The sequence below is a fragment of the Homo sapiens genome, chromosome 1, assembly GCF_000001405.40.
Source record: "Homo sapiens chromosome 1, GRCh38.p14 Primary Assembly".
Lineage (NCBI taxonomy): Eukaryota > Metazoa > Chordata > Mammalia > Primates > Hominidae > Homo > Homo sapiens.
The window spans coordinates 23107830-23126460 of NC_000001.11; the positions used below are offsets into that span (position 1 = coordinate 23107830).

At 42.1% G+C, this 18631-nt stretch overlaps 1 protein-coding gene across 11 annotated transcripts in view; it reads right to left on the reverse strand.

Annotated features, from left to right (window-relative positions):
• The window catches only part of LUZP1 (leucine zipper protein 1), a 94481-nt gene that overhangs the window by 24188 nt on the left and 51662 nt on the right, over positions 1-18631 (reverse strand). For 6 of the 11 annotated variants that reach the window (XM_047429993.1, XM_047429989.1, XM_011542090.4 and 3 more), the window contains 2 exons: positions 1756-1821; positions 1193-1298 (listed from right to left, as the gene is read on the reverse strand). The gene's annotated coding sequence lies outside the window, so the exon portion shown is untranslated. Of the gene's footprint in view, positions 1-1192; positions 1299-1755; positions 1822-2432; positions 7710-18631 lie in introns of those variants that run through there. The other 5 variants (XM_047429992.1, NM_001395461.1, NM_001142546.4 and 2 more) reach the window with 2 other exon arrangements.

The following is an 18631-nucleotide window of genomic DNA, read 5'->3' on the forward strand; positions in this document are numbered from 1 at the left end:
GGCAAGAGTTTGCCTTGAATTTTTCCACTCCTTCGAGAAGAGTTCTGTATTATCCCTAACTACACCTATTTCCTCAGAGGGGTTGACATGAGAGCAAGAGGCTTTGTTAAGATTCCTTTCCTATGCCCAGTCACTGCTATGACGAGAACCCATTTCCCACTCATTCTGAGCTACCCTATTGCTCTACTTTCCTAGGGAAGCTTTCTCTAACTATCATCCAGCTATCAGGAGCAACCAAGACCACCAGGTCTCTTGGCCACTGACCGTTCAAGTTCTCACTTCTATCTCTTCTATTTCATTAGTGCTCTCCTCTGCCTTAGCCAACACCAACCAATAAAATATTGGCACATAAAATCCATAAATGGCTAGGAAAAGAACCTAATTGTTGATCAAAAGGTTTTGTATTTTGCTTTGCTTTTCCAAGGTTAAATCAGTCACAGCCTCAACCAAAAAGTAACTTTCTTAAAAGGGAAACATTATAGTGTAATGAAAATAACCCACTAGGGTGGTGGCTCATGCCTGTAATCCCAGCACTTTGGGAGACTAAGGCAGGAGGACTGCTTTAGCCCAGCAGTTTGAGACCAGCCTGGACAATACAGAGACCCAGTCTCTACAAAAAAATTAGCTGGGCATGGTGGTGCACACCTGTAGTCCCAGTTACTAGGGAGGCTGAGGTGGGAGGATCACCTGAGCCCAGGAAGTCAAGGCTGCAGTGAGCCATGATCACGCCACCGCCCTCCAGCCTGGGCAATGGGAGCGAAACCCAGTCTCAGAAAAAAAGGAAAGAAAATAATGCAGGTTTGAAACCTAGTTCTACTACTTGTGTGAACTTGGAAGAGTTATTTAACCTCTTTAAGCTTGTTTCCTTGTGGTGATGACAACAGTACTTACCTCACAGGGTTGGTAGGGCGATAACATGTCCAACAGGACTGCGCCCGACATAGAGTAAATATTCAATAAATGGTAGCTACTTCTTAAGGGTGGCCTAATTCTTACGGTTGCTAACTTCATGCAAGGATTTTTCACCCTCATCAGGTTGGTTGGTTAAGTACTCAGCATAGTATTTGGTTCATAATAGGCCATCACAAATACTGACTTTCCTCCCCACTTCCAGTAGTGGCAAAATTATAGTGGCTTCAGAAACCACCCAATTCTATTGGTACACCCAGGTTTCACTGTACAACATACTTACCATGTAGGTAATTCAAGCTTTCCGTCAATACTTCCGGCGGCTCTCCCTATGCTTGCTGTTTTGGAAACAGTCACTCACTCTCTTTCAAAGGCAGTTGTCTCTTGACCTGGATAGAATATAAACAGAATGGAAGAGATAGGTAATGCATGAATCATACCAAGACTGAGGTGACCCAGAGGGCTGTCCCAAAGACTTTCACATACAATTCACTGTCAGCAAGGGGCCAAGGTAAGATCTGCATCTAGATCCTGACACTAAAGGAACCTGGCTAAGCTGGCTATGTCTCTCTCAGGAAAGTCAAGAAAGAATTTGGCTGTAGGAGACTTCCCCTTTCCTATAAGATGATATGGTCCTAGGGTAGAACCCACTGTCTTTGCTTAAATTAAAACACCCGAACATTCCTCAACAGTCTAAAAATGTACATGACATCTTACAGCTAGGAAGCATCTCAGAAATCAGCTACAGGTTGAGCATCCCTGATCTGAAAATCCCAAATTCAAAATGCTCCAAAATCTGAAATGTTTTGAGTGCCCACATGACTCCACAAGTGGAAAATTCCATACCTGATCTCATCTGATAGGTCGCAGTCAAAATACAGGCACACAATACTCAGGTTTATTCAATGTCCCCTGGGGAAAAATAAAATTACCTTCAGGCTATATGTATAAGGTGTATAGGAAACATAAACGAATTTCATGTTTAGACTTGGGTCTTATCCCAAGACATGTCACTGTATACATGCAAATATTTTTTTTAAAAATCTGAAATCTAAAACACTTCTGGTCCCAGGGATTTCGGATAAGGGGATACTCAACCTTCAGTTAAATGTCCTTGTTTTACAGAAGGAAACTAAAACTTAGAAAGGGTGAGTCACACAATTATTTAGCAGAAAAGCAAGGATTCTACTAAAAATAAGATGTTCTAGAAGATAGGAAAAAAACATCTGCGGAGTATTTACCAACCCTGAGCACTATGCTTTATGTTTTATATAAGACAATAAGAAGATAATGTTACCTCTACTTTACAGATAAAGAATTTAAGTTTCAAGAAGTGACTTGTCCAAGGTCTTACAGCTTGTTATTAAATGACAGAGTTTAAACTCAAGTCTGTCTGACTTTGAAAGTCCCTTCACCATGCTGGCTCTCATTTTGTTGCCCTCTAGACTCGGTCCTCAAAAGAGCCCTGAACCACCCAATATCAATTAAAACTAAAAATAGAGCTTTTCTTTCTGCAAACTTACCCTCCAGTTTTGAAACAAGCAGGCTTCTACAGGAGAGTTGAAAAGCCTACCATCCCATTGAATCTTACCCCTAAAATTAGAGAAGAGCTACTACAGATGGAAGATCTGGGTCAAACTTCTTGTGTTATCTTACTCTTGAGGAAAATGGAAAGGTAGCTTCTAAGCTAGTGGTAAACCTAAAGCTTTTGTACATGATCTTACAAACTATCCTCCCTTCTTTCATCACAACTGCCTCCCTTACACATCCCTGCAAGCCACCTTGTGACTGCCTTCCAAGACTATTGGTCCCTTTAATCCAACTTCCACACCTCCACCAAAACATGCACACATGCACACATACCTGCACCTGCGCGCATGCATGAACGCGCACACATACACACACACACACACACACACACACACACCCATCCCTGCCTCTATCTTCCCAGAGAGCAAGGCGGCTAGAATTACAATGGACAAATAATGAGAGTTTTTTAAAAACAGCTTAAAAGATGAGGGGAACAGTAGTAACTCAAGCCTCAAGAGAATAAAATTTGAAAAGAATTTTTTTTTGTAGTGATGGGGTCACACTATGTCACCCAGGCTGGTCTGAAACTCGTGACCTCAAGCAATCTTCACACCTTGGCCTCCCAAAGAGAAGAGTTACTGATAGTATCGGCCAGGCACGGTGACTCACGCCTGTAATCCCAGCACTTTGGGCGGCCAAGGCGGGCAGATCACCTGAGGTCAGGAGTTCAAGACAACCCTGGCCAATATGGTGAAACCCCATCTCTACTAAAAATACAAAAATTAGCTGGGCATGGTGACATGTGCCTATAATCCCAGCTACTCAGGAGGCTGAGGCAAGAGAACCTCTTCAAACCAAGAGGCGGAGTTTGTGGTGAGCCCAGATCGCGCCACTGCACTCCAGCCTGGGCGACACAGTGAGACGCTGTCTCAAAAAAAAAAAAAAAAAAAAAGTTACTGATAATAAAAACAGCTAGAAAATAAGTATAAAAAAGGATCTAGGCCAGGCACAGTGGCTCATGCCTATAATCCCAGCACTTTGGGAGGCCAAGGCAGGAGGATTGCTTGAACCCAGGAGTTCAAGAACAGCCTGGACAACAACAAAGCAAGGCCCCCATCTCTACAAAAAAAAAAAAATTTTAATTAGCTGGGCATGGTGATGCACACCTATAGTCCTAGCTACTTGGGAGACTGAGACGGGAGGATCACCTGGAGCCCAGAAGTTTGAGGCTGCTGTGAGCCACAGTTGTCCTACTGCACTCCAGCTTAGATGACAGAGTGACGCTCTATATTTAAAAATAATTTTAAAAACGATCTATACCAAGGCGGCACCCAAGAGATAGCTTAGGTGGATGTGGGGGAAGCTTTAGCTCTCCACCCTCTGCTTTTAAAAAATAATCAATGGAAGTTAAAGTAAGTGTGATTGGTATTCAAATAGTTTTAGGACAGTTCCACAGACTTTCCGTCCTACCCCATCACCACCTGTCTCTTTCCCCCTCCCCACCCACCTTACACACACAACACCCACACACAAACACCGCCCCCCCACACACACACTCATCTTCTTCTGCATAGCCTAAAACCTCTCCTACATAAAAATTCTGAACTCTAAGAAATGGTCACATAAATCTGGTCTATCTCCCCTAAGGTCTCTGCAGCCCTAACAGTGATAGCAGCGCCCCTGCTAAAATCTACTGTCCCAGCACCTACCACCTACTGCCAAATTTGCTGACATGTTACTAAGGCCCAGGGGCTTTTCTCTTCAAAACAAGACAGAATGCACTGCCAAAGGGAAAGAGGAACTCCAGCTAATCCTGATTTGTTTTCAACTGTCTACGTTCTCTCATATTTCTAAGGGGTAGAAGTAAGCAGTAACTGATTTCTTTCTTCTGAATGCCATTTACTTCTTGCTTCCTCAGCGTACTTGCCCTCTGTCCCCAAAACAAGAGGATGACTGTAAACATCCTCAAATTCCTTAGTGATGCTGCTTCAGAGAGCTTTCCACCATGACAGATCCATCCTCATCACTTCCCTCAAGCATCTCTTCTGGCACTTATTGTTTCTGTTACTGTTGGTGGTGATAGTGGTGGTAGTATGTGTGTACGTGTCTGTCTGCCTAGAAGCAGAGACTGAAGGATCCTTACAGATCACAGAGTCCAACCACCTCCTTTCCCAGAGGAGCAAGTGGGTCCCAGAGAGGAAAGGAGACTTGCCCAAGCTTACAAAACAAGCTCAAGTGAACATTTTTGTCCCCCAAACACTTTGATAATAGATAAAAATGTCAGTAAGAAATTCTGCTTTCAGTATGACCCTCCCACAGACAACAACTATACTCTGGATAAAACACAAAAACTATCTGAAGTGAACAAGGGCTGGCAGATTTTGAAAATAAGTTGAAAGTTGGAAGAAAGGGCTGACATGGAATGAACTCCTCATTTTTGGATCTCTAGCCTGAGGCTGGTCTAGCTGAAGTTCCAATCAAAAAACAAACCCTAGGCTTTCTGTCCTGAAGAAATAGCCCAGAGCAGCCACAGATCATGGAAGTAAGAAAAAAAAGAGCTAGAAAAGGAGAGTCTCAGGTTCTGTGTGTAAATTCTACCCAGTCTCTGGCTGAACCCTGAGCCATGCAAGCATAGGGCAGAATCCAAAGACCTCAGTTAAAGAGAAAAGAACTGAACTGAAATTTGAACTGCGACCCACTGCAGGTGTGACAGAGTTTGCAGTTTTGAGTCTGAGTTATTGTCTACTAAATTAAAAACATCAACAGAAACCAAAGTCTCCACAATACAACATTCACAGTGTGAAGAATACAATTCCAAATTACATAAAGAACTAGAAAAAGCATCTGGACACGGTGGCTCATGCCTGTAATCCTGGCACTTTGGGAGGCCAAGACAGGAGGATCATCTGAGCCCAAAGTGTTTTTGAGACCAGCCTGGGCAACACAGTGAGACACTGTCTCTACAAAAAATGAAAATAAATTTAAAAAAATTAGCCAGGTGTGGTGATACATGCCTGTGGTCCCAGCTACCTGAGAGGCTGAGGCAGGAGGATCACTTCAGCCCAGTAGTCAAGGCTGCAGTGAGCCATGTCCACACCACTGCACTCCAGCCTGGGCGACTGAGTGAAACCCTGTCTCAAAACAAAACAAAACAAAAACAAACAAACAAACAAAAAACACCTAGAAAAATTAAACCCATTTGCAATTTGCAAAGGAAAAGACAATCAGCAGAGGGCAACTCCAAGACAACCCAGATGCTGAAATTCTCAGACAAAGATATTAACAGAGCTATTATAACTAAGATCAATGAGGTAAAAGAAAATATGCTCAAGGCCGGACACGGTGGCTCATGCCTGTAATCTCAGCACTTTGGGTGGCCGAGGCAGGCGGATCACGAGATCAGGAGATCGGGACCATTCTGACCAACATGGTGAAACCCCGTCTCTACTAAAAATACAAAAATTAGCCGGGTGTTGTGGCGCGCGCCTGTAGTCCCAGCTACTTGAGAGGCTGAGGCAGGAGAATCGCCTGAATCCGGGAGGCAGAGCTTGCAGTGAGCCGAGATTCAGCTACTGCACTCCAGCCTGGCGACAGAACGAGACTCCGTCTCAAAAAAAGAAAAAAAAAAAAGAAAATATGCTCAAAATGAAGGGGAAAACAGTAAATCTCAGAAGAGAAACTGAAAAAAAAAATTTAAGTGGAAATTTTTGAACAGAAATACAGTATCTGAATTTTTTTAATTCACTGAATGGGCTTAAGGACAAAATGGAGATGACAGAGGAAAGAGTCAGTGAAATGTGGAAGCAGAACAATAGAAATGATTCAAACTGAAACAACTCTGGGTCATTCTCAGTCTCTAGAAAAACCACCCTCAGACCCTTTACTAAAGTATACACAGGGATAATTTTCTGTTATCAGAAAAATTGGTATCAGAGAGAAACAGAATAACTTGGGATCACAGAGTTTTCTAGTGGTCCTAAATTATATAGGAAGCAAGGGGAAAATAATTTTATTTTTCCTCCTATAATTGCTGAAGTAGCATTCAGGATTGTTCAGGAAAAAAGCCAGGAAGGATTTTAATAATTTTTCTGCCCTGTGCAGTCTCTTCACCAAAAAGCCAACATGGTAAACAGGCCGATGGCAGGATGGGGTGGGGACCAATCAGGGGGTATGGGGCTAAGGAAGTGCCAGCAGCTTGCTATGTATGAACCAACCTAGGTGGTTTTAAAAGCAGCTTCCCTGAATGCCATCACTGACTGAGTCGCTTCTCACATTCAAGTCACTTCATGTTGGAGTTCAGAACACTCCAGATAAAAGTGGAAGAAAAAACATAAGCTGCAGAAGACATGTCAATTTCTTTAAGGCCTGCCTTTTGCTCACTTCCCTCCTCCCAACCCCACTTGCCAACAAGAAGGAATGAAGAGAATCCAGAGCCAGTGATCTTTTCTGACTAAAGCGGGAAACTGAGAGTAAGACAACGCACCCTCTAAGTGTAGAGAAACTTGGATGGGGAGTGAGAAACCCGGGTGGCGGCCTCTAGTTCTACCACAGACATTGTTGGACCTCAGATGTGTCTTTTACACTTTCTGGGTCTCAGCTTCATCAGTCAAACAAAAAGGCCAGACTAAATGATATTTAACAATGATATACTATTGTCCTTTCCAATAACACTATGAATGACATCCTTAACCATGCTATCTCCATTTGCCCTTGTAGAAACTATAAACAGGTCCGAAAAGATCTAAGTAGAGGCATACCATTTGATTAATTGGAGTACCTCATGTTATATAAATTATTCAAACTTTTTTAATAATTTTCTATAAGTCTTGCCATTAATACTTAAATCGCATCAATAATAGATATTTCAGTACCTATCTATGATAGAGGACTGCTGTAAAATAATGTCTTTCAACTGAAAGTGCTTCTAATTCTCCCAGAATAACTTTTTAAATCTACGTAACCTTTAGGATGAGAAGGCAAATACTCTTATCTCATATGACAGATGAGCAAACAAAGGGACTTCTGAGACCTTTTTAGGAAGCTAGTAACAGACAAACAAAACTAGAATCCAGCAATCCCATCTCTATGTGTCAGGTTATTTTTCACCTTGCCAAAGAAACCTTACCAAAGAAGAGTATAAACAAGATCAGAATTAGAAAGAACTTAAGAACTTTTGTGCACTTTGGGAGTGCTTATTAATAAATAATTGATAAAACTAGGTTGAGATTAATGTATCTATTTGAAAGCTGGCACTCAAAGAACCGGCTCTGCTACTTCCTCTTTTTTTTTGGAGACAAAGTCTCGCTCTGTTGCCCAGGCTGGAGTGCAGTGGCACGATCTCGGCTCACTGCAACCTCCGCCTCCCGGGTTCAAGCGATTCTCCTGTCTCAGCCTCCCGAGTAGCTGGGATTACCGGTGCATGCCACCACGCCCAGCTAATTTTTGTATTTTTAGTAGAGATGGGGTTTCACCATGTTGGCCAGGCTGGTTCTCAAACTCCTGACCTCAAGTAATCCACCCACCTCAGCCTCCCAAAGTGCTGGGATTACAGGCGTGAACCACCACGCCCGGCCCTGCTGTTTCCTTTTCTAACCAGTGGTCTACAATTGAGACTAGGCTTCCTTGCCCATGTTTGTGAAGTTTAGCAACAGAATCACATCTAAAATTGTTATTCACCTACGGAGAGAAAGTTGGCCAAGGCCAAGCACAGTGCCTAAAGCCTGTAATTCCAACATTTTGGGAAGCTGAGGCAGGAGGATCACTCGAGCCCAGGAGTTTGAGACCAGCCTGGGCAACATAGCAAGACCCCATCTCTCCAAAAATAAAACCAGGCCAGGTGCAGTGACTCACGCCTACAATCCCAGCACTTTGGGAGGCTGAGATGGGAGGATCACTTGAGCTCAGGAGATCGAGACCAGCCTGGGCAACATAGTGAGACCTTGTCTCTTAAAACAATTTAAAAATTAGCCAGGTGTGGTGGCGTATGCCTGTAGTCCCAGCTACTCGGGTGGCTGAAGTGGGAGGATCACTTGATCTAGGAGACTGAGGCTGCAGTGAGTGGAGCCACTATACTCCAGCCTGGACAGAGTGAGACACTGTTTCATTGGCCAGGCATGGTGGTATATGCCTGTAGTCCTAGCTACTCAGTAAGCTGAGACGGGAGAATTGCTTGAGCCCACGTGTTCAAGGTTACAGTAAACTATGGTTTCATCACTGCTGGGTGACAGAGCAAGACCCTGCCTCCAAATAAATAAATGAATGAAAGAAAGTTGGCCAAATCAGAAGGTGTAAAAAAGTAAAAGACCACTGGACTGTTAAAAAAAAAAAAGGCAAAGAGAAGAAAAAAGAGAAAAGAAAAGGAAAAGAAAAGAAAAGAAAGAAAAGTTTGCCTGTGTGAAAGTGATAAGGAAAATGTAGAGTTGAGGATCAGTTTTGTTGTTATTTTTGTTTAATGAGGGTACTATCCTAGCACTGTCTGTCACATGTACGAGCTGCAAGTCTTAGGAGGTGCAAGTCACCCAAAGGTTTCGAATCTTTTTACCTTCACACTCAACTCAGAGAATGTGACTTCCCTTGTACTGACTGTTAAGTGCCCAGAGCATCAATCTAGAAGTTTTTTGTTTTACATGCATCTCATCTCCCTTAGGAGAAGTGTATCTCATCTCTTAAAATGGAAGATTAAAATGCCCTTCTATATACTTGGTGGTATCAGAAGAAGAATACTAAGCTGTACCTATTAGAGAGCCTGAGTGAAAAAGGTTTTCTGCTGCTATTTTAATTTGAAGGCATATTTTACAGGGTCACTATTATTTCTACCCCCTGTAACAAGTTTATTTCCATTTTATTGCTTCTAGGGAATTTCCCTTTGTCTCTATTCCACACTCTCTCTCCATCCTGCCTGCTGCCCTGGCAACATGCTATAAGGGAAAACCACACATGGGATTGAAAGTCAGATTATCTGGGTTCTATTCTAATTCAGTCACATATTACTTTAAGTGATTAAACTTCACAACCTCAGTTTCCACAACTGTATATAGAGATTACATCTAAACTTCATGGGACTGTTGTAAGGATTATATAAAAATATACATTAAATGCCTAAGCACATAATGCCTGAACGAAAATATACCCTACACATATTAATTCAATTTTCTTTTCATCACTGTACACATTCTTTTTTTTTTTCCTCTCTCTCTCTCTCTCTCTCTCCCCCCCCCCCCCCCACAATCAGGAAGCCCTGGGGGGGGGGGCGGGGGGGGGGAACACCTTGAGAAAGTAACTTGCCCAGTTACAGCAGAAATAATTTTAAATAAGTACTAAGAGAGGTGGATGGGTGGGGCCAGAGGTATAATAAGGCAGCATCCAAAAGGGCAAGGAAGATGCCCAAGTCAGAATAATCAGGCTCTGTGCCAGTTCTGCCTCCCACCCCTAAGCCCTAAGTTCCTTCTTGTAGCTATAACTATGTCTATCTCCTTCTTTTACTAAGTCACACTTGCCAACATGTCTCACGTCAAAGTCTACATTATTAAAAACAAACAGGAGGCTGGGCACAGTGGCTCACGGCTGTAATCCCAGCGCTTTGGGAGGCCGAGGCGGGCAGATCACGAAGTCAGGAGTTCGAGACCAACCTGGCAAACATGGTGAAACCCTGTCTCTACTAAAAATACAAAAATTAGCCAGGCGTGGTGGCGTACGCCTGTAGTCCCAGCTAATCAGGAGGCTGAGGCAGGAGACTTGCTTGAACCCGGGAGGTGGAGGCTGCAACGAGCTGAGATTGCGCCACTGCACTCCACCCTGGGCGACAGAGCGAGACTCCATCTCAAAAAATAATAATAAATAATAAATAAAAACAAACAGTCATGGTGGCTTGCGCCTGTAATCCCAGCACTGTGGGAGGCCAAAGTGGGTGGATCACTTGAGGTCAGGAGTTCGAGACCAGCCTGATCAACATGGTGCAACCCCATCTCTAAACACAAAAATTAGCTAGGCATGGTGGCACACATCTGTAGTCCCAGCTACTCAGGAGGCTGAGGCAACGAGAATTGCTTGAACCCGGGAGGCGGAGGTTTCAGTGAACTGAGATCACACCACTGCACTTCAGCCTGGGCAAGAGAGCAAGACTCCATCTCAAAAAAAAATTAAAATTAAAATTAAAACTCACTCACATTCACACACCAGGTAGTACAATGGGCAGTAGAATCCTGAGTTCTACTCTTGTCTCTCCAACTTACTAGAATAGTTTCCTCATTTGTAACACAGAAATGACAATGTGTCTTGACTACAAGATTATAAGGACCAAACAGAAGAATGTATGTGAAAGTACTTTGTACACAATAAAACATGGTTATTGTCATAGGTACAGTGGGTCTACCTTTGGCCAGTTTAGGTGTTAGGTTTTACTTTAAAAAGGCCTCAGTTCTACAATACTCTATTTCTGTGATCCAAGGCTGCCTATTTCCAGTTCAAGTCCTCTTCTTCCTGGCAGCTGAAAATTTTATATTGTCATCCTAATTTCACTTGATTCCCTGATTTTTGCAAGGTTCCTCAAATTTCTCTAACCAAATGGGCTCCATGTCTCCAAAATGGTAACTAAAGACCACTAGAACTGATCACCTCTACCTGTCCTTTTGGTTCTAATATTCTAAGATTCTTGGGCCTATGTTCCCAATGCACTTTGTCTGTATCTCTACTTGAGCAATTTTCTTAGTCTACTTTGCATTACAGGTTTATCTGACACCATCTCCTAAAGAAAAAGCCACAGGTAGGTTGTCCTATGTTGTTTTATATTCCCCGTAGCAATTAACGTGGAGCTTCACAAAAGTATTAGTTGAATTGACTTGATGCTAATTTCTCATTTTTTTATACTTACTATCCCTACTACACCATAATTATAGACCACCTTATTCTTTTGTACTGCCATTGGCCTGGTACAGTGTGAAATAAACAGTCAACATTTTTTTTAACGACCTGATGTGACTAGCTCTTTTTTTTTTTTTTTTTTTTTTTTTGAGACAGGGTATCACTCTGTTGCCCAGGCTACGGTGAAGTGGCACAATCACAGCTCACTATAACCTCGAACTCCTGGGCTCGAGCAATCCTCCTGCCTCAGCCTCCTGATTAGCTAGGACATAACTGAAAGTGAAAGCAAGTATGACAACTCAGATCTTAGTTTTAGCTTTAAAAATAACAAGCTATGGGTGTGACCTTAGGCAAACTGCTTCATTTCTCCAGGCCTCATTAAGATATCTCTTACAACTTTTAAACAAAGTCTGGAGAGGATGTTGAGAGGAATCAAGTAAGAATAAGCCCTTCTGAAAAACCCTAGGTTTATCTCTAGTATAGCACTTATCATTCTGTATTATAATTGTCTACTTGTTACTCTCCTGTACCAAACCCCGAGCTCCTGAAAGGCCAGAATTATGTATTTCATCTCTGAATCCAAGCATGTGCATAGAACGTGGCACACAGTAACAGTTCAGTAAATGTTCAATGGCCAAACTACTGAAAATTATAAGTGCCTATACTTACGAAGACTCTTATGTATAAATGGACTTATATAAACTTATAAGAAAGAATAATTCATCTCCCTCATGTACAACCCTTTCAAATAACATTAAATAAAAGTATTTTTCTTATTATCACCAGCTCAAGTCCAGGTTTTGTTTTTTGTTGGTAGTTTTTTTTTTTTTTAAAGACAGAGTCGTGCTCTGTCACCGAAGCTGGAGTGCGGTGGAGCAATCGTGGCTTCCTGCAGTCTCAACCCCCTGGACTCAAGCAAATCCTCCCCGCTCAGCTCCCAGAGTAGCTGGGACTACAGGGATGTGTCACCACAACAAGCTAAGTTTTGTAAGTTTTGTAGAGATGGGGTTTCACCATGTTGCCCAGGCTGGTCTCAAACTCCAGAGCTCGAGCAATTCACCCACCTCAGCCTCCCAAAATGCTGGAATTATAGACATGAGACACGGCACCAGCCTAGGAAGTCCAATTATTGAATGCCCAGAATCATCTGAAATTCAGGATCCCTAGAAGATATCCTGACAAGGGCCTCAGAAGTGCATGCCTCCTACGCTCTAAATAATATACCTCCTAATAAATAAATAAACATATATATATGGAGACAGGTCTCTCTGTCACCCAGGCAGGAGTGCAATGGTGCAATCATGGCTTAATGCAGCCTTAAGCTCCTGGGCTCAAGAGACCCTCCCACCTCAGCCTCCCAAGTATCTGTGCACCAAAATGCCCAGCTAATTTTTTTTATTTTTATTTTTTTGTAGAGACAGGGTCTTGCTATGTTGCCCAGGCTGGTCTTGAACTCCTGGCCTCAAACGATCCTCTTCTCTCGACCTCCCAAAGTGCTAGGATTACAGGCATGAGCCACTACGCCTGACAATAATACCTAATGCTTATACATTATTTCATAGTTCAAAGCACTTTCACATCCATACTCTCAATCCTTAATAATGACCCCATAAGGATATTATCAAATTCATTTTATATGTTGAAGAAATTGAGGCTCATATTTTAAATACTTTGCTAACCTAAGGCAAGCTGATATCAACTAAAGGAGGGCTTTCATATTTAGCCTCTCTTGCTTCAGTGCCCAAAAGAGGCAGAAACAAGAACACCACCATCTCCACTCCCCTGGCCTCTACAAACGAGGTGGATCAGACCACTATCTGCTATTGCTTTACTGAGCTGACTACCTCTTAAGTTTTTCTCGTCTCCATAAAAATCAGTTACCCAGAGTATTTTATTATGTCTTAAGCAAAAAATAAGACCAGCCCAGGGAGAAAAATCCCCAAGATTACAAACAACCACATTTATAAGCTGCTGGCTTATATCTTTATAAACAAAGCTAAAAAAATAAGGGGAAAACCTGCTCCAATGGGGAGCTGTAAACCCTACTGACCAAACAGCCCCTTGGCACTTAGGTAGGTAGTTATATACAGCTAATTTAGTCTGTAATAGTTTTTGTACTTCTTCAATAATTTGTACTGCCTATTGTTTTCTCCATACCATTCTAAATGCCTCAAGAGCAGAGATCACATCTTCTAGTTAATTTACATCTGTTCCTGTACAATGACCATATAGTACCCAAACCAAAATTGGTTTTTCTGGCCTAGAAATTTATATAAAGTCTTATCCAAATTTAAAAATTAAAATACATAGGCTAGGCACAGTGGTTCATGCCTGTAATCCCAGCACTTGGGAGACCAAGACAGAAGGATCACTTGAGGCCAGGAGTTCAAGACTAGCCTGGGCAACATAGTAAGACCTTGTCTCTATAAAAAATAAAACAAAATTAGTCAGGCGTAGTGGCACACACCTGTGGTCCCAGCTACTTGGGAGGCTGAAGTGGGAGGATAGCTTAAGCCCCAGAGGTCAAGGCTGCAGTGAGCCGAGATCAAGTCACTGCACTCCAGATGACAGAGCAAGACCCTGCCTCAAACATTAAAAAGTAGTCTGGGCATGGTGGCTCACGCCTGTAATCTCAGCACTTTGGGAGGCCAAGGCAGGTGGATCACCTGAGGTCAGGAGTTTGAGACCAGCCTGGCCAACATGGTGAAACCCCCCCTCTACTAAAAATACAAAAATTAACTGGGTGTGGTGGCGCACGCCTGTAATCTCAGTTACTCAGGAGGCTGAGGCAGGAGAATTGCTTGAACCCAGGAGGCAAAGGTTGCAGTGAGCTGAGATCATACCACTGCACTCCAGCCTGGGTGACAGAGCAAGAGTCTGTCTTAAAAATAAATAAATTAATTAATTAATTAATTAATTTTAAAAAGACTTTAAGTAATTGACATTCTTCAACTGAGTAACATTTATAAAATCAACAGTTTCTAATAAAGAAACACCAAAAGACACTTAACACCTACAATGGTGCCAGGCATACATTTGAGTGGGCACTCAATAAAGTTGTGCTGAATGAATGATAACTGAGAGCTTAAAATCCATTAAAAACCACTTAAGGCAGAATAAAATATCCAGGACAAGAGCCAAAAGAAATGACTAGAGACTGTCAAGTTAATTGGAAAAATAAGATTCTAAGGTAGTTCCACTCAAAGTCATACTTAGGGTACCACAAGTGAACACTCTGGATTCAAGCACCACATTATATGTACAGCCAGAGTGAATGCATTAGGGCAGTGACTTAGCACGAGGGTTCTCTCTGCTCAGACCAGCAGCATGCAACCAGCAGCAGCTTGCCCCTTCCCCCAGTTAGTCCCCATTACCAACGCCCTGAAGCCTAGTCACAGAACTACAGCAGTTAAGCCAGGCAGTACTAAAAGTTAGAAGGAAATGAGCATGCCACCTGACACTTTTCTGGCACAGGCTAAGCCGATTAGTTTAGGTTACAAACACAACTACAAGATTCCAGGACACTGAAGAAACTACTCTTTTTCTGCAAACTAAAAATAACTTATTAAAACGGGAGTGTTCTTCAAGTATTTCTGCCCTGCCAGCAACCCAAAGTTCCATTTCCTCAAATCCTTCTTAGTCTTATTGGATCCAAGTCTCCACACCTCCCCCATCTTCCCAACTCTTCATCCTAATGCTATGAACACAGTAAAAGACCTAAACTCCTTTCCTAACTCATGCTTTTAACGTTTCTTTTCTAATAAGCAATCGTGCAGAACTTCTATGGCTCCTGCCTTGTGTAGAACCACAACTGGAAGACATGCTGAGCTTCAGCAAAGAATAATGAAAAACAAAGAAAAACTGAAGGACAAGATGCAGCATGCTCGGGAAGTCAGCTAAATGCTTTTCATTCAGGCAGGAATAGAAGGAGCCTCACCTACCTAGAAGAATACAGCATAAGGACAAATGGTGTCTAGTATAGAGCTAGACTATACTTTATCACTTTAGAACAAAGCCATCAAGCGTGTTCTAGAGACAGACTCATGTCCAAATAGCTTTAGTATCCTATAAGAATCATTAGGCTGGCCGGGCGCGGTGGCTCACCCCTGTAATCCCAGCACTTTGGGAGGCCGAGGCGGGGGGATCCCGAGGTCAGGAGTTCGAGATCAGCCTGACCAACACAGTGAAACCCCGTCTCTACTAAAAATACAAAAATTAACCAGGCGTGGTGGTGCATGCCTGTAGTCCCAGCTACTCAGGAGGCTGAGGCAGAAGAATCACTTGAACCCGGGAGGCGGAGGTTGCAGTGGGCCAAGATCACACCACTGCACTCCAGCCTGGGCAACAGAGTGAGACTTTGTCTCCAAAAAAAAAAAAAAAAAAGCATCATTAGGCTATCTCAAGGTTGAAGTGACATTTTTCAGGGTTAAACAAACTCCCATCATTTAAGCCAAATAAATCAAGATTGAATTGCAGACTTTCTGGTCATACAGAGCTGAGAGAAGGACTCAAATCCTACTACTAGGAAGTGGAAATTCCAAGGAAGCTAGAAAACCCTGTCCTCAGTAGCTCTCCCTGCTCTCAGGCCCTGAGGTAAGCCAGCATTTCCTTTCCAAGGTCAAAAATTAACCATAGACTTTGAACATCTCTGTGCTTTGCAACAGCACCAGGAAAATGCCACAATGCTAAGCCACCCTATATAGACCTAAGACATTTGCTATTCTTGATTATTCCCAAGAGTAGTCACTTGGGATACTCATTAATGTACTTTCTAAAGATCCAACTTTCAAAGTAGTCTTTTCTCATTCTTATTTTTAACCTTTCACCATCTCTCTTTAAAAAAACAAAAACATTCAGATGTCTTAGAGCACTGAAGAAAAAGAAAACAAAAATTGGCTTATCTATATAATCTACACTCTCAGAAAAATTCCTCCTGAAAAAAAAAATTTTTGCCCTAAGACCACCCAAGGTACACACCATGGTAAAGTTTCAATGCAGAATCATGCTGTGAGCAAGAGCAAATGGAAAGCTGCAGCCCTTCATCAAACAGCATTAGAACCTTCCAAGATTCGTGAAATCAAAGAATATCAGAGCTGGAAAGATACTTAGGGTGCAATAATCTAGTCTAGCCTTTCATTTTAAAGATGGGGAAAATAAAGCCCAAAGAGAGGAAACGGAGTCTTGAAGCAAAGCTGGACCTAGGACCTAAGTGGCCAGACTCCCAACTCTGGTATCTTCTGCCACACCATACCTCTTCACAAGACTGACTTTAAGGGAGTCAAGTGGCTAAGGACAGGGTAGGCAAAAGAAAGTAAACATATGGTACCAAGCAAAGAAACCAACTCTCTGTGAATTCTCCTCTGTTGCTTTGTGGTGTGACTCAGGGAGAGTTATTCCTCCTCCATATGCCTTAATTTCAAGAGTTTTTCTCTTAAATATTTCATAATTTTACTAAGAAGCAAGATACAATTATCACTCATGCCTTAATGGTGCCTCCCAACCACTACACAGGTGAAGTCAAAAACAATCGACTACTAGAATGGAAAGACTACAAGAACCCTTAAACAGAAAGATTAACATCATTTTGGGGCAAGGAGGTACATTTTTTTAAAAGATTACTCAACTAGATGGCTCCACTGAAGGAATCCACATCACCTGACTTCATATTCTAGTATCTAGACTTCAAGGAAAATAAGTTCACTTTTCTGACTCTTGGTTTCTTTAACAGTAAAATGAAACCTACAGACTTTCGTTCATTCTAATGCCCTTTCAAACTCTAAATGACCTAACCTTGACAGGAGCCATGACAGTAAAAAAAAGGCAAGGTACGAAAGTGTTGAGCTTGCCCAGGTTTGGAGGTTTGCCCCATCATTTAAGCCAAATAAATCAAGCTTGAATTGCAGATTTTCCCATCATACAGAGCTGAGAGAGGGACTCAAATCATACTACTAGGAAGTGGAAATTCCAAGGAAGTTAGAAAACCCTGTCCTCAATAGCCCTCCCTGGAAGCTGGCAGATATGCTTGGGTATCTGCTGGCCTAGTCCTACGCATGAGTCCTAGCAGATATGCTTACAACCCGACAGTATCAGTGGCATCGTTAAAATTAAAATGGAGAAAACAGTGCATACTTTCTTCAAAAGTATGCCCACTAAAATGATGGCTGCGACCCCTGTAAGGATCTAGCTGGACCATCTGCAGATGGTTTAAATTTGCCATTGCTGATTTTTTTTCTATCCCCTACCTTGATATCAAGTATTTAGTGTCTTACTATGAAGTAAATCATATACTTTCTCAATATCCTATTCTCTTTGTTTTTCTCTTTCATTTTAAGTGCATGTTAGACATTTAAAGATCTATGAAAAATAAACTCTTAGTAACAGGTAAATAACTAGAATTTTCAATAAACACGGAAAAAAGTGTTGAGTGTGAGCAAGCTTTTTACTAAAGCACATCAGTCTATACAGCCAATTCAGCATTCTCCATTCAGAGGCTGCCTCTTCCCAGGGATGTGGCTAATAGTGAAAACACAAAATAATGTAAGGAAAGAGGACAAAGGTTTCATTTTCTGCTGTCTCATCGACACATCTTAACATGGAGGACACAGTATATCAGAGATTAAAGCCAGAAGTTAAATCAATGCAAAAGGAAATGCAAGCTCCAATGTCAATTATGAAAAGTAACGAATCTTAAATAAGCAAGTACTTGCCTGCCTGCCTGCCTGCCTGCCTACTAAGACTGGGTTGAAGATTATTTCTATCGACAAGGTTACAAACAGTAATTTTCAACACTTCATATGGATATACAATTACCTGGGTACTTGTTAAAATTACAGATTCCTCGGTACCATTTTCAAATCTTCTGATTAAGTGGATCTGTTACAGAGCCCACAGACTGTGCATTCTGATACAGATAGTCCACAGACTATACTTTTTAAAATACTGTGAAGTGTGTATGGGAGGGCGATCATTAGGTCTCCTGGACACATAAATATACGTCTTCTGGAATGGTATAACCCACAGTAAAATATGTGTTCCAAGGATGGCATGCAGGCCAATTTTTAACTGTACCAGACCCACTCCCCTCCCTTCTACCTCCTAAAGCAACTTCTGAAGTCAGTGCTCTCTCAACTCATATAAAGGGCCCTTCTAAATAGTGACTAAAACACACTATGTTGGCTCCTATTTTAGATCCTATTTTAAAACAAGCAAGGCCGGGTGCAGAGGTCATGCTTGTAATCCCAGTACATTGGGAGGATAAGGCAGGAGGATCAGCTGAGCCCAGGAGTTTGGGGCCAGCCTGAGCAACATAGTGAGACCCAACATACTTGCTTCT